At 49.0% G+C, this 27,618-nt stretch overlaps 1 protein-coding gene across 4 annotated transcripts in view, besides 4 other annotated features; it reads right to left on the minus strand.

Moving 5' to 3' along the window:
- The window catches only part of JAKMIP1 (janus kinase and microtubule interacting protein 1), a 174,351-nt gene that overhangs the window by 101,354 nt on the left and 45,379 nt on the right, over positions 1 to 27,618 (minus strand). The window lies entirely within an intron of this gene.
- Positions 7,043 to 7,092: an enhancer, noted in NCBI's record as "active region_21248". NCBI's record gives its function as "activates an Ori minimal core promoter by ATAC-STARR-seq in GM12878 lymphoblastoid cells {active_cell/tissue: GM12878}" and the evidence as "EXISTENCE:reporter gene assay evidence [ECO:0000049][PMID:35858748]".
- Positions 7,373 to 7,562: an enhancer, noted in NCBI's record as "active region_21249". NCBI's record gives its function as "activates an Ori minimal core promoter by ATAC-STARR-seq in GM12878 lymphoblastoid cells {active_cell/tissue: GM12878}" and the evidence as "EXISTENCE:reporter gene assay evidence [ECO:0000049][PMID:35858748]".
- Positions 13,160 to 13,661: an enhancer, noted in NCBI's record as "H3K4me1 hESC enhancer chr4:6142439-6142940 (GRCh37/hg19 assembly coordinates)". NCBI's record gives its function as "activates a minimal SCP1, AML or CMV promoter by ChIP-STARR-seq in primed H9 embryonic stem cells {active_cell/tissue: H9 hESC(primed)}" and the evidence as "EXISTENCE:reporter gene assay evidence [ECO:0000049][PMID:30033119]".
- Positions 25,687 to 25,856: an enhancer, noted in NCBI's record as "active region_21250". NCBI's record gives its function as "activates an Ori minimal core promoter by ATAC-STARR-seq in GM12878 lymphoblastoid cells {active_cell/tissue: GM12878}" and the evidence as "EXISTENCE:reporter gene assay evidence [ECO:0000049][PMID:35858748]".

Genomic DNA, 27,618 nt, shown 5'->3' on the forward strand with positions numbered 1-27,618 from the left:
GCCCAAACAGGGCAACAGCTGTGACAGGACTTGGCAGGCTGGGAGGTGGCCCCGCACCGTGTGAAGAGAAACAATGTGAAGGAACACAAGGCCAGGGCACACCTGGGAAGGCCCCACAGGCCACATCCCCCCTTCACTCCTGTGGGATTCCCTCCTTGATCCCCTTTCCCTGACACGTGGTCCCCCAGCCTCTCTCGAAAGTCCTTCCAGTGACAGGAGGCCCCACTCGGGCTCACCCTTGGCAGCTCTCACTTCAGAAAGCACTTCTCATTTCGAACCAAAAAGAAGCAAACAAAAACTGACGCCCGTCTAACCTCTGCCCTTAGCTCCTCCGGGCACTCGGAAGCCCCCAAAATGCGTCCACTCCCCTTCCCGCACACAGGAGCCCTTTAGAGATCGGGAAGTTCCCATCCCACCACCCCCATCTCTGGGTAACACCTGCTATGTATCAGGCGCCCCATCTGCCTTTCACAGGACAATCTCATTTGACCCCTACAAAGATGCCCTGTAAAGGCTGTGATGCCAGGATTACCACCACCTCCACCTGCGGGTGAAGATGCTGGGGCCCGAGACAGAAACTGGCCACAGTCATGTGGTTAGAAAAGGGCTTTAGAGCCAGACGGACATGGATTCACCTCCCAGGTGGGTCACTCGGGGTCTAGGGTCAGTTCTCTGAGTTGTCTGGGCCTCAGTTTCCCCATCTGTGAAAGGAGGATCTCTCACTGCATCCAGGCTCCTGGACTATCAGAGCCCCACAAGTGGTGTCTTTCCATGGAGTCAGGGCAAGGGAAGTGTCCCCACAGGTGTGTTCTCCAAATGGGTGGACAGAAGGCCACCTGCTTCCGTAGCTGGGGCCCAGGGGCTGCAAGCAGTGAATGAGCTCAGAAGGGACCAGGAGCGGGGAGGGAGGGAAGGGGAGTCTTTATTGGCACAAGGTCCAAGCCCGTGGGCTGGGAAATTTGTCCCCACAACAGGAGACCCAGCTGGTCTTCAATGTGCTTCTTCAAGTGGAAAAAAAATGAACGGATCCATTGTCTGCCTGACAAAGCCCCAGCCCGGATGAGCAAACACGGGAGCCACGTGCCTCCTCCGTCCATTCCCTCCGGGGCTCGCTCCCCACGTGCACTGCCCAAGTCCCATGCTCCACCTGCCAAGTCCTCTCTAGAGTCCTTCTGGTGCCCCCAGCCTTGCCACCTGCAGCTGGCTGACCTCACAGGCCTTCAGGGTCTCCCTGACCCTCCTCCTCCTAGCCACCCCTGCAGGGCCACCAGAAGGCACCACCTATAGCAAGCATCAGCCACACCTCACCCCTGCAGAGAGATAAAACAGCAGTAACAGGAACCTGCCTGTGGCGGCCCACTGCCCAGAACCCCCACACCCAGGGGGTGCCTTGCCCGGCCCCTGGCCGTCTCACCCGGGCGTCGGGTCCACTTGCAACCTTCAGAGCTCCTTCCACACCATCAGGTTTAGTTGAATCTCCAGTACCAGGCAAGGTGCCTTGCCCAGAGCAGGTGACAGTACCCCTGGGAGCCCTCTTTGGATGCCTGCTGGATGATGAAGACATCACACACCCCACTTTCACTCCGCACTGTGGGGTGTCTTCACATCTACAGAGTTCAGGCAGGAGGACACACGCCATCCAGCCATCAAGGGACACAGGTTTCCTGATTCCTTGATAAAAATAGTCCCCCCTTCTGCAGAATCAAGTACAACTGGACAAGAGCTGGCACATGTGTGGTCAGATGCTGGGCGTGGCCCCACCCCATGCCAGCCAGGAACCATTGATATTTAAATGTGGCCTTTGGCTAAATGGTAAGGTACTGACCATTAAGGGTCCTTGGCCTTGCTCTTGGATAAACAAAGCCATGAGTGTTTGATCTCTATGATCTACAAGGTTTGAGATCACATTGAAGTCGACTGGTTAAACACATCACCCCATTATCTGTTCAGCACAAGTTTGTGCCATGTCTCCTGAAAGCCAGGTGCCATGCTGGTACAGGGACCAGGATACCAAGCAGGACCCACCGTGCCCTGCCCTCATGATGCTGATGGCCATTCCTGCTGAAAGTTCCTTTGTCCAGACCCCCACTCAGCTGCCGTTCTCAATATTTCCCTACACAGATCAGGAGGAAGCCATCCCTCTGCATTGTAAATATGACCAAAGAGGTTATGATGAGATTTCTCCATGAAGCACAACTCCCGCCCCTAGAAAAGTATTCTGAGGTCAAAACACCCTTCCTGTTTCTGGCAGCCTCAATTGCCACCATCACCTGTCACTGTCCCCCAGTCAAAGAATCATCACGTTCACCTCTGCTGTGGAGGACTGCAGGAGACACTGCAACAGCTGACCACCACAACGACCCTGCCCTCAACAGCCTCCTTCTCCTGGTCCTAACAAGTCCATCTTGATATGTCCCAGTGAAGCCAAGTTCAGGAGAAGAGGCCTCTCTAAATTTGGAAGACTCTGGGACACCTCTGGCCTCATGGTCAGAGACCCACAGAGCCCAGGTCCAGCTCATCATGCCAACCCCAGAAAGATCAGAGAAACTTCCAGTTAGGGCAATACTCTGCACTTACCTGCCCCAGGCCACTTTGGCAAAGTCCTGCCCAATGAAGTGGGGGACTCTATATAAGAGGAAGGGAGGCAGGGGAAGAAGGAGGGAGCGGGGACGCAATGAGAATTGAATCAAACTTTTAGTTTCTGGTCTGTCACATAAGGAGCTTAGAAGCATGACTCCCGTCTAAATAAGGCAAGTTAAACAGAATGCAAATCAAGAACTTTTCTTGGATCCATCAGACAACTGAGGTCATAGGACAAACTACTGCTCCAACATTTGGAAAGGCAGACAGGCAGATACACAGAATCACAACATACCACAGCAAAAACCTCCACAGGAACCAGTTTAGGTCCCTTTTACCAAATGCATCATGTCTGGCTCTCAACAAAAAACATTCCAAAGCATACTAAAAGGCAAAAAAGAGAGCCCAAACATTGGAAGCAGACATGGTAGAGAAGCTGGAATGATCAGACTGGAACTTTAAGAGAACTACGATTAATATGCCAAGGATTCTAATGGAAAAAGCAGACAACATGCAAAACCAGATGGGCAATGTAAGCAGAGATGAAAATTCTAAAAAAAGGATAAAAAGGAAAAGCTAGAAATAAAAAGAACTTTAACAGAAATGAAGAATGCCTTTCATGGGCTCATTAGTAGACCGAACACAGCTGAAGGAAGAAGCAGTGGGCTTCAACATACGTCAATAGAATATTTCCTAACTGGAAAGCAATGAAAAAAAAGACTAAAAATAAATAAATAAAAAAAACGAATATCCCAGGACAGTCAGGCGCGATGGTTCAAACCTATAACCCCAGCACTTTGGGAGGCTGAGGAAGGCAAATTGCTTGACCCCAGGAGTTCAAGACCAGCATGGGCAACATGATGAAACCCTGTCTCTACAAAAAACACAAAACTTAGTTATGTGTGGGGATATACACCTCCCACCTCAGCTGAAGTGGGAGGATCACCCGGGCTCAGGAGGTTGAGGCTGCAGTAAGCCATGATTGCACCACTGCACTCCAGCCTGGATGACAGAGTAAGACCTTGCCTCCAAAAAAAAAAAAATATCCCAGGACTATAAGACAACTACAAAAGGTATAAACACATATATAAAAAAAAGAATAACAGGATGAGAAAGAGAAGAAGAAATTGAAGAAATATTTGAAGCAATAGTATCTGAGAATTTCACAAAATTAATGTCAGACACCAAACCACAGATCCAGGAAGCTCAGAAAATAGCAAGAAGGATAACTGCCAAAAAAAAAAAAAAACAAAACCCTACACTTAGCATATCATATGCAAACTGCAGAAAAGTAGAGATAAAGAAAAGATACTGGGGCCTGGCATGGTGGCTCATGCCTGTAATCCCAATGCTTTGGGAGGCTGAGGTGGGTGGATCACTTGAGGCCAGGAGTTCGAGATCAGCCTAGGCAACATGGCAAAACCCCATCTCTACAAAAACTACAAAAATTAGCCAGGCATGGTGGTGCGTGCCTGTAATTCCAGCTACTCAGGAGGCTGAGGCATGAGAATGGCTTGAACCCAGGGGACAGGGGTTACAGTGAGCCCAGATGGTGCCACTGCACTCCAGCCTGGGCGACAGAGTGAGATTCTGTCTAAACCAAAAATTATTAATACATCCGACTTCCCTGCAGAAACCATGCAAGCAAGAAAGAGGAGAGGGAAATACTTAAAGTGATGAGAAGAGGAAAAAACTCACCAGTGTAGAATTCTGTAGCCTATGAAATTATCCTTCAAAAATGAAGGAGAAAGTCTTTCTCCAGACAAACACAAATTTAAAGAATTTGCTATGGACACCTGCCTTGGAAAAAGGAAGATTAAAAGCAGCTCTTCAGAGTTGAGGGAAAATGACAAAGGTCAGAAACTCAGACTCACATAAAGAAAGGAAGAATTTTAGAGAAGGAATATGTGAAGATAAAATAAAATCATTTTTTATTCTTAATTGACTGACTAGAACAGTTTGTTTGAAATAATAACAGCAACAGTGTAATTGATGGGTACAGCTTATGGATAAGAGCAATGAATGGGAGAGACGAAACGGGACTCATGAGTTATGAGATGCTTCCACTACACAGGAAGCAGTGTGTTGTTATTTGAAAGTGGACTTGGATTAGTTGTGAATGTATATTGCAAACTCTAGGGTGACTACTAAAAAAAGTTTTTTAAAAAGTACACTTGATATGTTCAGAAGGACAGAGCATGGAAATGTTATTAAAACCACAGAAGGCAGCTGGGCACGGTGGCTCACACCTGTAATCCTAGCACTTTGGGAGGCCGAGGCGGGCAGATCACTTGAGGTCAGGAGTTCAAGACCAGCCTGGCCAACATGGTGAAACCCCGTCTCTACTAAAAATACAAAAATTAGCCAGGAGTGGTGGTGCACACCGGTAGTCGCAGCTACTTGGGAGGCTGAGGCAGGAGGATCGCTTGAATCTGGGATGTGGAGGTTGCAGTGAGCTGAGATCTCACCACTGCACTCCAGCCTGTGTGACAGAGCCAGACATTGCCTCAAAAATAAAAAAAAAAAAAAAGAAAGCAGAAAAGGAGTAGAAGACAAAAATAGAAACAAAGATTAAGGGTCACAAACAGAAAATAGTAACAAATACTATAGATATTAATCCACCTCTATCAATAATCACTTTAAATGTCAACGGTCTAAATACACCAATAAAAGAGACTGTTGGGGTGGATCAAAAAACAAGGCACAACTTGTGTTATTTGTTTCTGTGCTACAAGAAAGCACTGCATTTCAAGACTCGCATGCACAAAGCCAGCCAACTTCTACACATTCATAGTCAATTAAGGGAAATGCAAGCAGCAATTAATTCCCAGCCACTGTTCATCTCTTGGTGTTGACACAATCTCTAAACTACAACCAAAAAAGCAAGCCTTATTTTTTTTAATTAAAAAAAGATCTTTGTAATAAATTCAATCAGATAAAAATGTCATTATAAAAATGATACTCAAGGAGCTCATAATGAAATAATATGGCCCAACAGAACACCAAAAAAACCTCATAATGACAAATCTGAATGAAAATCACAAAGACAATGCCCATGCCAGCCAGAATTTTAAAGTTAGCTAAGCTCCTGAATATTCTATAGGCAGACCTCCGCTCCTGCTCAGTGCCAAGGTACCTCCATTGATAATGGGGATGGTGACTTCGAGCACAAGCTCTTTGAAAGCCTTAGAAGACGTACAACCATAAACATTTTGTTTCCATATGAAAAAGGTTAGAACAAGTACTCCGTATTATTTATACTTTCAGAGGGAGGGAAGGAGAGCAATAGAGAGACAGAGCCCATGTTAAACTCAATTCCTTAAAAAGCAAATGAACAAGAGTTCTCAAAGAAATTAATCCTTCCCAGCCTGACGCAAGCAGATTCATTCATCTCCCCTCTGCAACTCTGTTCCTTCTGTGGGTCTAGTTTCTAGCCATGATGTTAATGCCTGATAGTGGGTGGTGGGCAGGGGGCGCATGGAGGGAGAATCATTGTTTTACCAAGTTTCTTGCAAAGCTAATTTTGCCCTGGGACCATGCTTCCCAACAACAATGTGTCCTCCTGGCCTTGGCACCCCAGCAAGTGTGTTCCCCACGGTGTCCTTGGCAAATCTGCCACACAGTTCCTGACATTTCCCAGATTCCCTTGCAGGAGGTAGGGGTCATATGACTAGACCTGACCTGTGTCACTTCTGGGCTAAAGCTCTTAAAAGCTCACATCACTCTTCTCTCTCTTCTTGGCTGCAGGGACCTTTGAAGCCATGCATTGAGATGGTTGGATGACCAGACGGAGGGGGCTGGATCCCTGAATCACCCACTGGAGTGGGCCTGCACTAGAGCATGTGTGAATTAGAATGGACTGATATGGTTAGGCTTTGTGTGCCCACCCAAATCTCATCTTAAATTGTAATCCCCCTGATCCCCAGGTCGAGGGAGATGCCTGGAGGAAGGTGACTGGATCACAGGGGCAGTTCCCCCATGCTGTTCTCATGATAGTGAATGAGTTCTCACAAGATCTGATGGTTTTATAAGTGTTTGACAGTTCCTCCTTCACATACTCGCTGTCTCCCGCCTGCCGCCATGTAAGACATGCCCTTTCCCCTTCCACCATGATTGTAAGTTTCCTGAGGCCTCCCCAGCCATGTGGAACTGTGAGTCATTAAACCGCTTTTCTTTATAAATGACCCAGTCTCAGGTAGTATCTTTATAGCAATGTGAGAACAGACTAATATACAGACCTTTTGGGGTTTCTTTGTTACTGCAGCCTTGCCTCATCAAACCTGACTGATGCTCTCTTCTTGAAATGCCCCTCCCCGTCTTTTCCACCTGTTCATCTTCTTTAAAATTCAGCTTGGGCATCACCTCCTCTGGGATGCTTTAGCTGGCACCACTTCCCACCCCTAGGCTGGGTCAAGGGCTTCCTCTGCATACCAATAGTTCCTCAAGCTTCCCTGTCTCACAGCTCTGATCACGCTGTGCTGGTGTTGCCCATCCCCGCCACCAGACTCGGTGCCCATGACAGCCAGGCCTGTTGCCTCAACCTCCCAAGAGCCTGGCTCGGTGTCTGCCAGAATCAAAGCAGCTCTTGAGTGCCTGTGAAATGGACTCAATCTGTCCACACGATGGTGCCACAATGCCCTCTTTCACACATGCAAATACTGCACCAGGCCTGGGGAGGCAGAGATGAGCCACATCCTCTCTCCCCCACCAGAGCCTCAAGCCTAGCATGGGAGGGTGGCGCATGCATAAATAAAGACAGCCCAAAACACGCAGTGTAGATGCAGATAAACCACGGTGGATGCCCAGAGGCAAGAGAAGTGTCTTCTAGCTGGGGACTCCACACACAAGACAGCGTCTGGGCTCCCTGGCAGGCCCTGGACATGTAGAGATGGCAGGTGTAGGGCTCGTGTATCTCTGGTCTGGTATCGTTGGGGCAGAGCTGCTCAGTCTCCATGGGGGCCACTCCTCCCCATCCTCTCCCATTCTCAAGCCATGGTATATGGGCTGACTCGTGTCCCTCCAAAATTCTTATGTTGAATCCCCAACCCCCAGCACCTCAGGACTTCATGTTTGGAGACAAGGTCTTTATGGAGGTAAGTTAGGTAAAATGGGGCTGTGGATTAGGGTGGGACCTAATCCAAGATGACGGATGTCCTAACAATACGAGGAAAATAGGACACAGACACATAGAAGGAAGACCATGTGAGGACATGGGGAGAAGACGGCCGTCTACAAGCCAAGGAGAGAGGCTTCGGAAGAAACCAACCCTGGTGGCAGCTTGATCTCGGACTTCCAGTCTCCAGAATTGGGAGCAAATGTCTGTGGTGTGAGCCGCCCAGTCTGTGGAGTCCATCATGGCAGCCCCTGAAGACTGATACAGAGATGCTCCTTGAGCTGCCCGACCCCACTCCACGGACGGGGATTTCCCAGGTCCAGCCTGGCCTAGCCTTGATAAAAAAGCCATCGCATACACAGCATTTTGCAGATTAAAATAATCTAGTTCCCTGCATACCACTGCATCAACCATACCACCCCCGCTGAGAAGTTGCTTCTTGCCCCATGTTACCTATGACAAACCAGAGGCTCTGAGAGCCACAGCCAGCCTGGACTTGAACCCAAGCCTTCTAAGGCCCATCCCACTGGTTCTTCCCCTAAACCACACTGCCCAGCACAATGCTGGCTCACACAGAACTTCTTACTAACAGTTTCAGATAGCCACCTAACACCTTGGCAGAGGCTGGTGTCAGAGGACTTAAGAAATGGTGGGGGGAGAGGTGGGGGGGGACAGCAAAAATAAGGAGTGAATGAAGTGTCCCTTCAACATGGACCGAGGCTGGGCACAGTGGCTCACACCTGTAATCCCAGCACTTTGAGAGGCCAAGGTGGGTGGATCACTTGAGGTCAGGAGTTCAAGATCAGCCTGGCGAACAGGGTGAAACCCCATCTCTACTAAAGATACAAAAATTGGCCGGGCATGGTGGTGGGTTCCTGTATTCCCAGCTGCTGGGGAGGCTGAGGCAGGAGAATCACTTGAACCCAGGAAATGGAGGTTGCAGTGAGCCGAGATCACACCACTGCACTCCAGCCTGGCCAACAGAGTGAGACTCAAAGTAAATAAATAAATACATAAATAACATGTACCAAAGTGCTTGACGTCTAAATGCAGGCATCTGTGAATCCATATTTCAGTCTGCTTGAACCCAAAAGACCATGGGAATATTTAAGTACTTCTGACAAATCAGTACCCTAGTGATAATATCTCCCACTGGGAGCAGGAATGAAGGAAGCAAAGCCACGACGTTGAGGGACCTGCTGGAAGGAACTCGGTATCAGTCCAGAGTGATCTATTTAATCTCTCAAGGTCCCAAGAGGGAGGCCTCGCTTCCCATATTTTGTATCTGAGACAATTTGGGCACTGAGCGACTAAGTTCCTGTCCACGGTCACACAACCAAGGATGGCTCGTGTCACCTGCACCTTGCTCGACTATCCTTTTCTTGCCTACTTTTCTGATTTTTCATGGTGATTAGCACCCAGTCAGGAGCCACACTAAAGAATCTGGAATTCCAAGAAATGGCCTGCCCAGGAAAAATAAATAAATAACAAGAACTTCCTCCCTGTCCAGTCCAGCCAGCTGACCACAACCCACATCGTGGGGGTCCTGACTACACAGAAAGCCCTCGAGAACCACTGGCAGAAAGCAAAAAGCTAGTTACCAGCAGCGGCACTACCCATCACATAACAGGCATTTAGACACAGTTGCGTTGAAGTTTGGCAAGCGCATGGGATTCCACTGACCATGCCATTGTACAGATGAGGAAACTGAGGCTCAGGGAGGTGGCATGGGGAGCCAGGATTCCACCAGGCCCCTGGGACTCTGCAGCCTATTCCCTCCAGTCCTCCTCTGCACCAGTAATCAAACTCCTACACGGTGTCCCCTCCGATGTGCCCCCACCGAGGGAATAATCACTCTTCCTCCTCAACACCCCCTCCCTATTTTCATGGTAAGGTGCTGCATGCTCCCTTGCCTTGCAGAGCCTCCCCCATAGGGCTTGGAATCGAGCCACATGCAGCTCTGCCTCCTCCACCTGACAGGACATGTGCTATGCCAGGTCCTGGCTTCCCCGTGCCAGCAGCCGGGCTCACCAGGGCCCACTGAGCCACAGCAGCCACAGTGGCTGCAAGACGGCACGCGCTGGCATTTTCCTAACAGACGGATCAGCTTTAGACGGCACTGTTCCCGTACCTTCGCTGGGAGTCAGGAAATTCACGGCTCTGGCCCATGGAACCTTAATCACGTCACACCTGATACAGTTCCTGAAAAGTCGTCTCACACCCTGGGTGACAGCAGACGTGCTAAGTAGGAACCCCCTTCAAGTCCTTTGCTCAGGGAAATCAGGAGCTGTGATTTGGTTGAACGTTCCAGATGGCCTCACTCGAGAGACGCTCTTTTTCAGCCAATCCACACTCTCTCCGCACCTGGAGGCAATGACCCCCACAGGGGACCAAATGAGCTATCCTGAAATGCGGAGGCTAAAGAGCCACAAACCATATCTCTGAGACTCCCTTGGAGCTAGGGCTCTGCACATCACTTAGGTTCCATCATTCATTCAATTCATCAGTCCTTCAATCACACAGGCCTGACCTGAACACAAGTGAGAGCCAGGTGGGGATAGGACAAGGTGCCCACTGGCTGGCATGGGCCTGGCAGACAAGGTGTGCTCTGGCGTTGGGGGTCCAACCATGGCCTTCTCCTTCCTGGCATGGGCCTGGCAGACAAGGTGTGCTCTGGCGTTGGGGGTCCCACCATGGCCTTCTCCTTCCTGGCTTGCAGCTGAGGCTGTAACCAGCTCTGGGACAGTGGCTCCCAATGCCCCAGCTCCCAGAGGTGGCAGAGGTGGCAGCTCCCGAGAGGCCAGCTCTGGGGTGACACTCTGGGGGTCAAGCCTAAGCCCAGACAAGACTCTGCTCCCTGACCTTCCACTACTGGCACCTACTTCCCTGTGCTCCGTCCCTCTACTTAAAGTAGCTGGACAGAGTGGCTTCTGTTATCTGCACCTGAACACAGATGAAAGCTGGGGTACCCCAGAACCCAAGTTAATTTAATTTTTATTTATTTTTATTTTTATTTTTTTGAGACAGAGTCTCACTCTGTCACCCAGGCTGGAGTGCAGTGGTGCAATATTGGCTCACTGCAACCTCTGCCTCCTGGGTTCAAGCGATTCTCCTGCCTCAGCTTTCCAAGTAGCTGGGATTACACCACACCTGGCTCATTTTTGTATTTTTAGTAGAGATGGGGTTTCGCCATGTTGACCAGGCTGGTCTCAAACTCCTGACCTCACGTGATCCACCTGCCTCGGCCTCCCAAAATGCTGGGATTACAGGCGTGAGCCACTGCACCTGGCCTAGAATCCAAGTTAAAATTAAAGAGGGACACACAAAACCATTTTAAACACAGAAGCAGAAAACCAAATATTTTGACGATGTTAACTACAGACAGACCCTCCACACACCTACATCCACTGGCAGAACTTCACGTTCTAGAACCACGGAATGGCCGTGCAGTGGCGTGTTCTCAACGGCCAGCTCTGTCTCAGAATGGGTACGAATCTTGACTCTACCACTTGTTAGCTGTTTGTCCTGGGGCAGGTGCCTTGTCCTCCCTGAGCTTCAGTTTCCCCTAACCTGGAAAAATGAGGAAAATCATAGTACCTGCCCCGGCAAAAGCGAATGCGCACAGAGCACTTTCAACAGAGCAAGGCCAGTTGGGCGCTAAGCAACTACTGCTTACTGCCTTGATTCCTGGGCTTACTGAACTCTCACGAGCCTTCATCTGGCTGGAATATGTCTCCCCACCCCACCCTGTCTGTTCATCCTCCATGGCCTTAGTCAAGCTGTTATTGTTTGCATGTGACATCATTAGAAACACACACACACACACACACACACACACATATACACACACACACACACACCAGCAGGTCAGCCCTGCTCTCCTCTGGACTCCTCTTATGCCTGAGCCCCACTTTCCCCCTGAATTTTAACCTGCTTTGGGAGGGTTCCCATGGGCTCCAGAAACTTTCACTATTTAAAAGGGTTCTGCCCCAGTTAAAAAGCATTTGAGAACCATAGCATCAGAAGAGCATTTCAAGGACATTGAAAAGTATTCTTGATTTATGTGAAAGGGTTTAAATTGTGTCACTCCCAAATTCATACGCTGAGGTCCTAACCCCCAGTACCCTCAGAGGTGGTCTTATGGGAAACAGGGTCTTTACTGAGGTCATCTAATTGAGATGAAGTCAGGAGGGTGGGCCTTAACCAATATGATGGGTGTTCCTACAAAAAGAAGAAATGGGGCTGGTCGTGGTGGCTCACGCCTGTAACCCCAGCACTTTGGGAGGCTGAGGCAGGCGGATCACAAAGTCAGGAGTTCGAGACCAACCTGGCCAACATAGTGAAACCCCATCTCTACTAAAAATACAAAAATTAGCCAGGTGTGGTGGCACACACCTGTAGTCCCAGCTACTTGGGAGGCTGAGGCAGGAGAATCGCCTGAACCCAGGAGGCGGAGGTTGCAGTGAGCCAAGACCATGCCACTGTGCTCCAGCCTGGGTGACAGAGTGAGACTCCATCTCAAAATATAAAATAAAATAAAATAAAATAAAATAAAATAAGGAAATGGGAGCACAGAGACACAGAGACAAAGGAGAACACCATGTGACGACGAAGGAGGAGGTCACGGGGCAGATTCCACGAGCCAAGGAATACCAAGGACTGCCACCAAAGCACAGGAAGCCAGGGGAGAGGCCTGGGGCAGAGTCCCCTCGCAGCCTCAGATGGGGTCAACCCTGCCCACGCCTGGATCTCAGACTTCCAGCCTCCAGAACTAAGAGACCATCCGTTTGTCTTGTGTATTCCATGGTACAGCGGCCCTAGGAAACGAATATATTTATTAGATGGATTGAGATGTACTGAGAATAGCTATGAACTATTGTCCCAGTTTTTTGGAGACCAATTTCATACACACAGGGGAGAAAGGCTGACAGCGGCAGAAACAATCAATGTTCACGTGGCTCTCCACCCGGACATTTGGGCTGCTCCCTATTTTTCTTTTTTCCTCTTTTTTTTTTTTTTTTCTGTGGGGAGGGACTTTCACCAACATTTGTGTGATACACATCTTCCCACATAAATCATAATGCACACCTGATGATGGGCCGACCATAAATCCCCCCACGTGGCGAGGCTGGCTCAGCAGGAGCACTGTCCCTGTTCCCCCAAAAGGCCCACCACAGACCCACCCCAGGAGTGTGTGCTCAGGTCCTGCTTCATCAACACTGGGGGTCAGTGATTCGTGGTCCCCCCGATCAGCTTAAGGCCCCTTCCAATAATGTGGCTCGGGTCTTTCTGCAGGGTCAGAGGGAAGTCGGCCCGCTAGGTGACAGTGGTTCACAGCGTAAGGACCTCTGTCCCCACTGCTCCTGGAGGGGTGGAGAAATACATGATTTTGTTTATCTCCTTTTGATCTGTCTTCTCCAAGACATTTTCCACAATGAAAATGTAATGCTTTTACCTGGAAAAGGGATGACAAAGTATCCCAGATAACTTGGTAGAATAATATTTCTCTCGTCTGGTGTCATCCTTTGGGCAATAAGAAAGATGCAATTAAGTAGGCAATTGTAATAAAGAAAATTACTGACCTCAGGTCAGCCACAGGCACTGGTTGGAGCTCATCTGTCCTCAGCACAGTGCCTGGTGTATGGTAGACACTGGAGAATGGTGGGATCCCTCTCTTTACAAAATCAGAAGCTGAGGTCCAAAGAGGGAAAATCACTTGCCTAAGACCCCAGAGCTGGGTGACGGCAGAGCCAGCCCTGTGGGCCAGGCATCTGGGACCTGTAACCTCAGCAGCCAGCATGGGCCCCCTGCCCAGCATTCACAGCGAAGAAGCCTCAGTCAGTCACTACCATCCTAATTGTATCGCGTAGAATGAGAAGCAGCTACCAACATTTAAAGTGGTAGACGAGGCCGGGCGCAGTGGCTCATGCCTGTAATCCCAACACTTTGGGATGCTGAGGCAGGCAGATCACTTGAGCCCAGGAATTCGAGACCAGCCTGGCCAACATGGCGAAACCCCGTCTCTATTAAAAATACAAAAATTAGCCAGGGGTGGTGGCGCGCATCTGTAATCCCAGCTACTTGACAGGCTGAGGCAGGAGAATTGCTTGAACCCGGCAGGCAGAAGTTGCAGTGAGCCGAGATCCTGCTACTGCACCCCAGCCTGGGCGACAGAGTGAAACCCTGTCTCAAAATAAATAAATAAATAAATACCAAAAAACAAACAAACAAACACAAAAAACAAAGTGGTAGATGAAACCCTTCCTGGGTTGCTGCTTTACAAAACAAATATTGACTACAGTCCTTAGGACCCCCATAAATAATTTTATGGGCAACAGCACCTATGCCCCAGGGCCTGGCCTGTGAATGCCCTTTCTCCTCCACTCCCAAATCCACATGATTCTCCATCTTAACTTGCCGGTAGCTGGCCCAGCCCTGGTCCACAGAAGCCAGGTGGAGAAATGCAAGAGCTATTTCTGCACCAAATGGAAAGTGGCCCCAGGACACTGATGCCGAGGATGCTGACTGTCCACTCTTCGGCAACCTCCCTGGCCACTGAGCAGCCCGGTGGGAGCGGAAGTTGATGTGGAAACCACTCATTTCTGCTGTCAGGCTCTGGCATGGAGAGGCGCTTACGCTTCCTAAGGGCGTTAACCGTCTCTCTCTCATTTTAAAAATCAAGTTTACTCCAATAAAGAAACTTGGGAGAACACAGAAAAGGAAAAGGAAGAGAAAAAGAAACTTCTCTTCCATCCCCCACCCCCACCCACTGTGAACACTCTACTGACTTCCTTCTGGGCTGCTTTTCCAGGGGCAGTTTTTACTTAAACTCATGTCTATCAGTCATTTTCTAGCTTGTCTTTTCCTCTTCATATCATGAAATAAGAATTTTCCAAGACGCTCTGAAGAGTGGTGGAGGCCTTCCTACCTCATTCCATCCTGGATTTAGGGACACTTTGGTTATTTCTGAGGATTTTGTACAGATTTAGAATTTTTTTCCATGGAGAGATTCCCTTTCCAATTCACTGGCCAAACGCTGCAAAGTTTCGAAGAGGCTCGTACCCATGTATGCCCGCACAGGCAGGGGAAAGGGAGCCCCCGGGAGCTCTGTGCTTTAAAAGGGCAGTTTCTCGTGTTCTGTCCTTCCCGAGTCCAGTGTTTTTTAAACGACTGGTTTTTGCACCTCCAGCCAAAGTCTTACATGAACTTGTCACATGAGAGAAGTCCTACGTACACTCAGCAATATGTAACAGTTAAGGGATTTTGCTTTTATTTAATATTACTGGCACTTTTTTTAAGCTACCATATCACAATAATCAGAATTCCAACCCTAAATCCTTAAAATATAGCTGGAGTCTCTGCTCTCGGACTTAAGAGGCAGCTGGCATTGGGATCAAATGTGCGGCCTCTGGACAGGCACAGCTCTGCTTCCCAGCCGCCACCCTGAGGTTTCCAGGAGATGGCAATGGATGGGGTGCTCTGGCCCCGGGGCCTGGCCGCAGGCAGAGATCAGTTCATGAAGGCAGAGCTGGTTATGTGGCAGATCCTCCCAGGGGTACAAATGGCATCACAGGATTTTCAACAACTTCATTGCTTACAGGTGAGGAAACGGAGGATGGAAAGGTTTAAGGGACATGGCCGGCAATGACAAAGCCCAGCCTGGAGTCCTGAGGCCCCTCAGTCCAGCACTGTGTGTGTGTGTGTTTGTGGCCTCTCATCTCTGACTATACTATCAATATGAAAAGAAAAACTGCCTCGATGCCTTCTGGGGGCAGCCTGGTGGACTCTGGAAGGCTGAAGTTCAACACAGACTCTGGCTCTGCCTCACTGTGTGACTTTGAGCAAGTTTCTCAGCCTCTCTGAGCCTCTGCCACCCACCTATTAAGCAGAAAGCAGCACAGCTCTCCCCTGTGAGTACGAGCTAAGTTAACCCACGCACAGCACCTTGCACAGTGCCTGGTGCGTGGTAGAGTTTGCAGAAAGCACTATCTTAATTTTTGTTTTTATTTTCCTTTGGATACATTCTAAAAGCTTTATGAACAGACTTGGGGGCTTCCTGACTTCCTGTCTGAATCTCAGCCAATTCTGGGATCTGGGTGTGGGAAGCCTCCTTTGCCATCAGCAAGGCCTCGAAACTCAGCTGCCACCAACTCCTCTCTGGCGCCATGTCTGAACCCAGGCTGGTAAGAGTCAACGGGTCCCCTCTGGAGCCAGCATGTGCCACCTCACACTCCACAATGGGACAAGAGGCAGGCCTGCTGGATCCGGCCTGGGTCCCACCTGGCCTCTTTCAGTTATGCCTCCAGCCCCTGGATAATATTTTTAAACTTTTCAGTTAATTTTGGCACCTCCCCTAGAACAGCAGTTCTCTGAGTGAGATCCTTAGACCAGCAGCATCTGCATCAGCTGGGAGCTTGTTAGGAGTTAAAATTCTTTGGCCTCAACAGTAACCTACTGAACAGAACGTGGGGGTGGACTCAGCAGTGTGGGTTTTAACAAGTCCTCTGAGTGATTCTAACACACGCTGCTCTAGAACAGTTTTTTATTTAAATAGAGAAGAAAAAAGAACAATTTCTGGTCATCAGGGAATAACAGAAGGCTTGTAGGACCCAGGCCAGGCAAGCCCCATCCCTTCCATTGATTGGCTGATGGCTCTGGGTGAGTGCCTTCCTTCCTTCTCAGTCTCCAGGGCTGGAGCAGGGACCACAGCATCTGCCTCACAGGCATGCCAGGGGGTCAAAGCAGAGAGGCTCACTCGGGCCCAGCTTAGAGCCTGGCATGGGGAGGAGGCTCAGGAAGGAGGAGCTGCATCATGACACAGAGGTCTGCTTTGGACAAACCATAGGCCTTTCTGGCCCCCACATCCTGTATGTTAAAAAAAAAGTGCAAATCTGATGCAAATTGGTCCTTTAAAAGCCCTGGCCTTGTCAGCCATTCCCTTCCCATTCAGGTAAAACTGTAATGCCACAACAAAAAGTTGAACACAGTAGTATACTAAACATACTTAACACCTAGATACGTAGAAAAGCACAGGCCTAGATGGCTGCAGGGGTGAATTCTATCAAATGTTTGAAGAAGAATGAATATCTAACTCTTTCAAAAAGTAAAAGTGCAAAGAACACTTCTCAACTCATTCTGTGAAGCCAGTATTACCCTGACACTGAAACCAGACAAAGATATCATATGAAAACTACAGACTAACATCCCCTACAAATATAGATGCAAAAATTCACAACACAATACTAGAAAACCAAATCCTGCAATATATAAAAGAACTATATGCCATGAGCAAGTGAGATATATCCCAGGAATGCAAAGTTGGTTTAATATCCCAAAATCAATCCATGTATTATACCATATTGATGGAATAAAGGATAAAAACCACATGACCAGTAAATAGGTACAAAAAAGACATGTTACAAAATCCACCAGCCTTTCATGATAAAAACACTCAGTCAGCTAAGAATGAACAGAAGGGACTTTCACAACCCAATAAAGAGCATCTACCAAAACCCCACAGCTAACATCACTCTCAATGGTGAAACATTAACGCTTTCCCTTAAGATCTGGAACAAGACAAAGATGTCTGTTCTTGTCAATTCTATTCAACATTGGACTTGAGGTTTTAGTCAGGGCAACTAGGCAAGAAAAAGAAATAAAAGGCACCCAGATCAGAAAAGAATAAGTAAAATTATCTATTTCCCAATGACATGATCTTGTATATAGAAAATGCTAAGGAATCTACTAAAAAAACTATTAGAACTAATAAACAATTTCAGCAATGTGGCAGGATACAAGCTTAGTATACAAAAATTAACTGTATTCCTATACGCTGGCAATGAACAACGTGAAAATGAAATAAGAAAACAACCGGATATAGTCTAGAGGATGCAAGTACCTTTTTGCACCACCACTGGATCAGCATGATCATTAATAATGAATCGTAGAAACAGCCAGTATGCACAGGCACCAGCCCCATGCAAGGCACTGAACCAGGCCCTTTCCATGCAGCATCTCCTTCAATATTCACAAGAAATGGAGTTCTCCCCATCTGACATATACAGAACCTCTGGGGTGAAGAGGTAAAGTAACCTGCCCAAGTCACAGAGCTGATTAGTGGAGGCACCAAAATTTGAACCCAGACAGTTTGACTCCAATATTCATGCCTTGTCCCTGCACTGAGCTCACACAGCCTTCACAGTCCCAGTGGTTCTTGGCCTGGGGTGCTCTCAAAAATATCCATACCTAAAAAAAAAAATTACCATATGGTCCCAGAATTCCACTTCTGGGTATATATTCAAAAGAATAAGAGCTGGGTCTTGAAGAGATATTTGTGCACCATGTTCACTGCAGCATTATTCACAATAGCCAAGAGGTGGAAACAACCTATATTTGTGTGCTAGGCTGCTACAACAAACCACTACACACTGAGTGGCTTAAATATCAGAATTTTTTTCCTTGCAGTTCTGGAGGCTGGGCATCTAAGGTCATGGTATTGGCAGGGTTGGTTTTAATATAAGATCCTCCTTGGCTTGTAGACCCTGCCTTCTTCCTGTGTCTTCACATGGTCATCCCTCTGTGTATGTCCATGTCCTAATATCTCCTCATAATCACACCAGTCATATTGAATTAGGGACCATCCTAATGACCTCAGTTTAATGTAACCACCTCTTTACAGGCCGTATCTCCAAATACTGTCACATTCTGAGGTACTGAGGATGAAGGCTTCGACATAGGAACTTTGGGGGGACACATTTCAGCCCATAGCACGTTGCAAGTGTCTCTCAATAGATGAATAGACAAATAAACTGTGGTCTATACATTCAGTGGAATATTCAGCTTTAAAAAGGAAGGAAATCCTGACACACGGTATAAGATGCATGAACCTTGAGGACATTACACTCAGTGAAATAAGCCAGTCACAAAAATAACGGAGAAGTCAAACTCATAGAGACAGAAAGTCGAATGATAGCTGCCAGGGGCTGGGGGGAGGTTGCGGGGGGATGAGGAATTGTTGTTTAACAGCATAGTTTCAGTTTTGCTTAATGAAAAAGTTATTTATTTTGAGACAGGGTCTCACTCTGTTGCCCAGGCTAGAGAGCAGTGGCACAATCATGGCTGACTGCAGCCTTGACCTCTCGGGCTCATGTGATCCTCCCACCTCAGACCCCAAGTAGTAGTTGGGACTACAGGCATGTGTCAACACTCCCAGCTAATTTTTTATTTTTTGTAGAGACAGGTTTTCACCCTGTTGCCCAGGCTGATCTTGAACCTCTAGGCTCAAGCGATCCTCCCGCCTCAGCCTCCCAAAGTGTGGGGACTACAGGCATGAGCCACTGTGCCCAGCTGAAGAAGTCCTGATAATAGACTGTGGTGATGGTTGCATGACAATGTGAATGTACTTAACACTACTGGACTGTACACTGAAAAGTGGTTAAGATGGTCAATGTTATGTTACATGTAGAGGATCTGAGGTAGGTGATCTGGCCTGCGGTGGGGCACAGATGTTGGTATTTTTCTAAAGCAGCCAAGGTGATTCCAGTGGTGGAACAGGATTTGAACTTGGGTCTGAACTCCAAAGTCCTCCCTCTCCCTACCGTACACTTGAGGTGACATGAGGAGATGGCATGAGAAACTTCTCTACCTCATTAAAGGATGAGAATTTCTAAAAGACCAGCTATTGAAATACAATCACTTATGAGCCTAATTCAGTTTTTTTTTGTTTTTGGGGGGATGGAGTTTTGCTCTTGTTGCCCAGGCTGGAGTGCAATGGCATGATCTCGGCTCACTGCAACCTCTGCCTCCTGGGTTCAAGTGATTTCTCCTGCCTCAGCCTCCCGAGTAACTGGGATTACAGGAGCCAACCACTATGCCTGGCTAATTTTTCTGTATTTTTAGTAGAGACAGGGTTTCACCATGTTGGCCAGGCTGGTCTCAAACTCTTAACCTCAAGTGATCCACCTGCCTCAGCCTCCCAAAGTGCTGGGAACAGAGGTGTGAGCCACCGCACCAAGCCTTAACTCAGTTGTGTTTTTTGTTTTTTTGTTTTGTTTTGTTTTGGTTTGGTTCGGTTTTTTATTTTAAAGGCACACATCAGTAAGTAACAAGGAAATAGTAACTGGCTGTCCATGCAGAACACATCTGTGCCAGTCACGGAAACATGGGAGAATGTCTGGGCAATGGCCTGGTGAATTAATAGCTGAGGCCAGGCTGGGCTCTGACTGACAGCCTCGTCTGTCTCCCAGGCTCTGCTGGCCCAAATGTCTTCCATGTGGTCCTCAAGAGCCTCCCATTGTGTCACTCCTATGACTAGATGGCTCCAAACGGTCCCCCAGGCTCAGGATCCAGCTCAAGCCTGCTGGCCAGGCAAACAAAGCCCTAACCATCTGCATCCACGGCCTCTGAACACTCACTCTCCCCCACCGGGTCCACACCAACTCTCAGGCCACCTAGGTGTGGGTTCTGTCTCCGCACCTGCCTCTGCCCAGAGGGCCCGGCCTGGGTCTGCACACTCTCTCCTCAGCTCACAAGTCTCTCCCATCACCTGCTGCAGGGCACCCAAGCTCTTGTGCTTCCCTCTGACATGGCCACCCTGGCCTCACAGGGCTGGCATCAGACTTGTTCCCATCCAATTGTTCATTCATTCAACAAATATTCATTGAGCCTCCCCTCTGTATGGAGGATGCTGTTCTCAGCACTGGGAACACAAAACAGACAGAAATCCCTATCAGCCTTGAGCTCACATTCTCTGAATTTTCATTCCTTAGGAGCAAGGACCGTGTCTTAGTCATCTTTGTGCTCCTAGGACCAACCACAGGTACTAAGCAGGTGCTCAGAGAATAGCGAGTGCAGAAGTGAAAATTAGGCCTGATCTCCACTGCTAAGCAGCTTTCTGAAGATGTCCTGGGTTGGGTAACACATACCTGCTAACTGGACTCTCGTGTACCCCCAAGTTGAATAGCAGCTGGAGTGGACTGATATGATGGCTGTGGTGCGTCTGTTTCAGACCAAGAGCAGGGCAACTGCATTTCCTGGTGAGATGCCCCAGGAGGCAATTTACCTACAGTCTTGAAGGCTGGCTCATGCCCAGAACATTTTCCTAGCGCAGAAGAGTCACCATTTTGCATTCCTTTCTTCCTAAGCAAATGAGGACTTCAAGCCTCAGCCTCAGGGCTCCAGGAAACACATATACTCATTACTGTTCCCCACAGTCCTTCGAGATACACAGGACACCACTTGGAATCGGAATGCTTTGTGTGGGCACGGACTCTGCGCCGGGCGCATCCTCCTTTTCAAGGTGGCAGGAGCCAATTTCTTTCACTTTTTCACCCAGTTCCATTCACCAGCATTTCCTGGTGCGCTCCCCTTGTGGGAAACAGGAGCAGAGGAAGAAGGGAGGATGCAGGCTGAGCCTGCAGGAGCCCCAATAAACGGCAGCCCTGCGTTCTTGTTTATTGTTACTTGTTTATCACTGTGCCTCCAACTCCCACCCGCACACCCATCACACCCGAGGCTGCAAGGCCCAGGCAGCCAGGACCTCGTCTGCCAGCATGACCACAGCATCCTCAGGCCTGGCCTAGAAGAAGCCCCCGTTTTATTTATAAATGGACAGATGGACATCCACGCACAGGCATGTAGAAAAAAGGAGGAGTATTTTCTAGCCAGGGCATGGGGACTGGGTGTGGTGAGACGGGGAGGAGTCAAGAAAGACATCTGAGTTTCTGGCCCAGGTGCCAAGGTGGTGCCACGGATGCTTTAGGTTTGCAGGGGGGTGGCGGGAGTTGAATTCCAAGAGGCCGTGTAACCCGCAAGAACACACCCCCAGGAAACAGTGGCCGGGTTTGCACTGACTTCGGCCACAGCCTTAGAGAAGGGCCACTGGGGCTGGACAGCTGGGCAGGACTGAGCTGAATGCTTTGTCGGGTCTTTTTAAAATAAGTAAGCTTTTTAACTACATACAATTAAATTAAAATGAGTGATTTTAATAAAAGTAAAATCACGCTAATCAAATAAAAAATGTGAGAGTTTCAGAAGAGAAGACACAATAAGTGTTTACTCTCCCCACAGGCCAACACTAAGGGCTTTCTCCCAGGAGGAAGAGACAAGCGGAGAAGAACTGCTTGGCCCAGGCCCACCCAGGCCACCCACAGCTGACCCTCGCCATCTGTCGTAGGAGAAACCTCACCAGATCCAGGTGAGAAAGTGGAGTCCCAGTGAAATCTAGGGATGTGGTCCGAGACCAGCGAGTAAGAAATACTGAATTTGGGACCTGAAACCAACTCGCACTCGAAATCCCAGTTTGCTACACACGTGGTCAAGATAGAAAGGATGTCCATTTCATCTCTCTTCTGAAGATTAAAGAAATAGGGCAAAAAGTTCCTAATTTAACATTCAATATTTATATTGGCTCATAAAGTCCAAAGTATATCAAGTTCCCTTTCTCCCTGCAGGGTTTTTTTCTTCTGATCTGGCCAGGGCCCTGCACCTCTTGACCCCCCACCAGCACAGAGCAGCCCTCCTTTGCTACCGGGCTGGGGAAGATGAGGCCTAACGCTTCTCGCCCAGGCTCGAAAGCATCTCAGCAACTGCATCAGGCTGATGGTCAAGATCCTAGAAGGCTGCCCCAGTGACCTCTCCCTTCCAACTCCCAGCTCTCCCCACCCATGGCCCACCCTCCAGCTGGGCTTCTCCTCCTGCCTCTGCTCTGCACCTTCCACTGCCCCTGCTTACCAGGAACGTCACCCGCCAATTCCAAATCTCCCCTTGCCTAAATCTCACATCCTCCAAGGTCAATTACACACTCATTCTTCCAAGAAACACGCCTACAAGTTTGTGGAGCGCCTGCCATATGCCAAGCTCTGGGGAAGAAAGTGAATGATACAGGTAGTGCCCCCTTCGGCTACTTCCCCACAGCACAGAACATTCTCCTCCATCAGAGAGAGAGAGAGAGAGAAGAAAGTGCTGGCACAGGCCCCATGCTTTGGGCTTATGTATATTAGCTCAGTAATCTTCATAATTCTTTGAAGGAGGTGCCAGCTTCCCTCCCACCCAACCTCCCAGTACAGAGAAGGAGAAACACCTCAGAGAAAGCAAGCAGACTGCGGAGACCAGGGGCTGAGGTTGGCCCCCGGTGTCAGCTTCTAACTAAAAGCCTTACTGTGCAGCGGGCTTCTCAAGGACAGTGTCCACGGTTCATCCACCTCTACGTCCCCAGGGCCCTGTCCGGGGCCTGACACAGCAGGTACACAGCCCTGTTTGCTGAACTGAGTGGTTTCCGCATCCAGGAATAGACACCCGCTTCTTAATCCCTGCCTCGGAGGCAGCTCCCACGGCGCTCAACGGACTCCTGACCTTCATGAACAGACCACGGGGCCGGCAGCACCTGCATCAGCGTCTGTCTGGCTTCCTCTTCAAAACCCAACAGACTCCATCTGGGCCCCAGAAAACTGCCCTGATGCTACAGGTAGGAAGAAAAATCTTTTAAAAGCACGTTAAAAGGCAGGCCTCTAAAATCAGCTTCCTAGACCATGGCGGGAAGAAGAAAACAGGCAAGAAATTTCCGCATCCCAGCTTCAAGCTCCTCCACTTGAGCAAGACAGTAATAATGTCTGCCACCGGAAGACACCCAGTGCAACACCTGAAGCAGTCAGCGTTGAGTGTGCCCAGGTGACACACATTTACAACCCCACCAGTGGGTCCCTGTCATCCACCAAAAGCAAAACACCTGGTGAAGGCTGCTGGGGATGGCAGCTCTTTCTCCCCAAGCTTTGGCTTCTATGTGACCTTGTGCAGCGCCCCCGCCATACCTTCCCCAGTCTCCCACTGTCTCCAGGCTGTGGCCCAAGTACTCTGGTCTGGCATTCAAGCTCCTGAGCTTGTCTCCTGCTGCCCTCCCAACTGTGACACGGCCATAGCACCCTACATGCCAAAAATGAAAACAATGGCCACCATGTCTATGTTCCATACAGGACCTCATTTAATCCTCTCCACAACCCTATGAAGTTACTTCTGTAATTATTCCCACTTTCCCTACGGAAAAACTAAGGCTTAAGAAGTGTCTGCAACTTTCTCAAGATCTCAAGCCCAGCAATAGCAGGGCCAAGATGAAAGATGAGATCAGACTCCCATGTTCTTCCTCACTGCACCACAAAATACTGCCTCCAAATCCCCAAATGCTCAGCGCCCTCTCTGAGGTGCCTCCATGCCTCTGCCCAAGCTGTTCTCTCTGCCCAGAAGGCCCTCTGCTTGCTTACCCACCATTCTCACCACCCCAGACCTGGCCAACTCTAGCCTCAATGTCACCTCCCCTAAGTCTTCCTAGAGCTTCCCATGCCCCACCTAGTTGCACTCACAGCACTGTGACCTTCACAGCCGCATTTAAGCTCAGAGTCCTCCAGTCCTCCTGGCTGGAACCACCTGTTCTCCTGTCTGCTGTTCAAGTTCTTTGAAACTTAGAGTTGAAGGTGGATCTCAATAGCCATTGAAGCTGGACGGCAAAGTGGCTAAGGGTATGGAGTGAGACCTTAGGCCAGTGAGTCCTTCCACTTGTCTAGATCTGTTTCTTTACCTGTAAAATGAGATTATCCAATAACCATACCAAACTCATAGTGTTGTTATGAGAATTAAACAAGACAATATAAGTAAAAGCAGTGAGCACAGTGCCAGGTACATGACATTGACCTTCCCTGAACATTAGCTGCTGTTGTTATGATGACTTTTACTTGGTAACCACTACGGGGCTCGCCACTATGCCTGATACACTGTTACCACTTAATAAAGGTCTCAGGGTTGGAAAGGAGAAAGGAAGCAGGCGAAGGAGGAAGGAAGGGAGGGAAGAAGAAAGAGACAGGGGAAGGAAGAAGGGAGAGAGGAAGGAAGAGAGGGAGGGTGGGAAAAGAGGAGACAGAGAGAGAGTGAGAGAGAGCAGGGAGGGAGGAAGTCAAATCAACTCGGAATAAAACTATCTAACCAGCAAACGCTGCTCTAAATGGGAGTAAAAAGGTGAAATTTCTTCCACTTGAGGCCATGACCTCCCACTGGGACTCTGATCAAGAGTCCTCACTCACTCATCCAAGCCTTCCTTTCTTCCTCTTTGGTGGAGGCTGCATTACCTAAGCCTGTAGCCCCAGCTCCTAGAACCGCCCTCACCCAGCCCCACCACCAACTGGCTGGGGAGCTGCCTGCTGCTCTGCATCCTATGATCAGAGATAAGGCCTGGCATTGGAAGAGTTTGTGTCCGCACGAATAAAAGGCAGGCAGTCTCTAAGAGAAAACCCGACCTCTGATCCTGATGCCGGGGAATATTTATGTGACCCTTTAACCCCTATATTTAAACACTAGTTCTTTGATCCCAATACTCAACACTTCACTCTTGCAGCAGATCTTTGCAATATTCTCACAGAAGTGGGCATCCTGGCCGAGTGTGGTGCCTCATGCCTGTAATCCCAGCACTTTGGGAGGCTGAGGTGGTTGGATCACCTGAGGTCAGGAGTTCGAGACCAGCCTGGCCAACATGGCGAAACTCTGTCTCTACTAAAAATACAAATATATATATATATATATATACATATATATATATAGCTGGGCATGGTGGTGGGCTCCTATAGTGCCAGGTACTCAGGAGGCTGAGGCAGGAGAATCACTTGAACCCAGGAGGCGGAGGTTGCAGTGAGCCAAGATCACGCCATTGCACTTCACCCTGGGCAACAAGAGTGAGACTCCGTCTCAAAAAAACAAAAAGAAGTGGGCATCCCTTAGCCCCAATTCTAGGAAACCCACATCACCTTCCTGTTAACCTGAGCTCAGTCTGTTTTTCTGTGACCAGCCCCACCCATGCACATCCCCCTCCCCTACCTGCCTGAAGACTACACAGGCAGATTCACACTTGCCAGCCAAGGCTTCAAAATCAAGCTCTACCAGACTCTCCTGGCATCCAGCTCACCAGAGGCCAACACCTGCTCACCATTCGACAGCACCCTGATTCCTACTCAGAGGCCCCAACGTCCCTGCCTCTCAGCCTCAGCTCCAGGGGTCTTCCCCGAGCCTGGCCTCCTTCACACAGGCCTTGGTCACAGGCAGATCTGGGTGAGAAGAGGAGCCACGCTGAGCATCAGGAGCCCTGGGATTTGAAGCCCCTTCTTCTCTCCACAGCCTTGTGACCCTGGCCCTCTCTAGGCTTCAATTTCATGTTTTGAAAAATGAGCACTGGAGCCAACGGTGTTTCCCAAACCTCAGTCATCAGTTGCCGCCGCTGTGACTTCTGCATAAAATGCATGGTTCTTCTTTTCTTAAAATTAGCTTTCCGGAGGTGTAATTTGCGCTGTAAGAGGGTGCACCTCAGACAGCCCTGACAATCTGGAGAGAGAACGTTTTGTGGAAGGCCATCATGTTCCCGTGTGCCCCTCGGCACCTTACCTTTATGTGCTTAGTACTTTTCTTTAACACTACTGACTTTTGAAAAACCTGTACACTACTTCAGCCTTATTCTAAGCAAAAATATCCCCCAAATCATAGGCTTCAGGTGCTATATTTTATAACTATAAGATACAGTTATATTTTCCCTAATGCACACTAAAGTATTATTAAAATAAATTATGTTTGGCTACTGTCACCTAAAATCTCACATCGCAACACTGGTGAGCACTCTCACTGAGAAATGCGGAACCAGCTACCCGCTCCCTGAGGCCCCTTTTGGCTGGGAAAGTCTGGATCCTGCCTCTTACTTGTCACAGAGTCTGCCCAGGTCTTGTATGCGGCAGATGTTTACTAAATACTGGCTGCTGAACCAGAGTGAGAGTTCAAGGCCATCTCTGCAGCCCCCAGACCATGCCTGGCTGACTGCATCCTGCTGCCTATGGTGAGAAGGCACAGGCTTGTGTCCTGCAGAGCTGATAAACCCTGCACTCAGGGAGACACTGACCCTCGCAGGAGGGAAGACAGAGCGGAGCTGGACACAGGCGGAGGCTGAAGAAACAAGCAAATCACTGGACGTGCAGAGAGGCTGCACTGGGGAGAGTTGCTCCTATTTTAGGCCATTGAACTACTTTAATAATTCGGTCATTTTCACATCAAAACCATTGCAAGGAAAACCCCCTAGGATGTTAAATCTGCATGCCCAGAAAGGATTTACCACAAAGAGCGTGAAGAGAGTGGTCCCCTTCCAAGTCCCCATTTCACAACAAGCTAAAAACCGAACAGAAGCCTTTAGTTCCCTGAGTGATTGGACAAGGAATTTGTCAGATGTCTATAGTCCTTTAAAAAAAAAAAAAAGCAGGGGGGATATAAAAGGAAGAGGATGCATTTCAGCCTTGAAAAAGGCAATACCGAAAAGGCAGACACCAAGAAACTTAGCAAGGCTTCCAAGAGCCCAACACGCACAGCCCACTGCACGCAGGGACTGTGCCCAACTCTGCAGCCCTGGCAAATGGAATTCTTTTCAATCCGGCCCGCTGAACCCCTCTTTCAGTTTACTTACTACCCAGCCCACTCCTAACTCCCCACCCCCAGCCATCATGAACTACAGACAGCACCCTAAACATCCTGTTCTGCCTTTGTATCCAGTGGACAGTCCTTCCTTCCTCCTCCACTTGGGAAGCTCCTATTCATTCCTCGAAGGCCTATTCATCCATCGCCTCCCACAGGAAGCCCCCTGAGACCCTCTCACTCCACAAACCAACACAGAGCACGCAGGGAAAGGTGCGGGGTAGGGTGGGGGGTCTTAGCTGGGGTGGAGCCTGAGCCTCAGAGGCTTCCTTCCTTGTCCTGTGGATAAAGGAATTTAAAGCTCATTCCCGAGCAGTGGGAAGACAGTCGGGAGATGCCAGCCCAGCCTGCTGGGAAGATACTTCTGGTGACAGTGTTGGGGTGTGCTGAAATTGGATCTGTGACAATGCAGTTGACTCTCCGCTATCAAAAGGCCTACACAT

The sequence above is a fragment of the Homo sapiens genome, chromosome 4 (genome assembly GCF_000001405.40).
Source record: "Homo sapiens chromosome 4, GRCh38.p14 Primary Assembly".
NCBI lineage: Eukaryota > Metazoa > Chordata > Mammalia > Primates > Hominidae > Homo > Homo sapiens.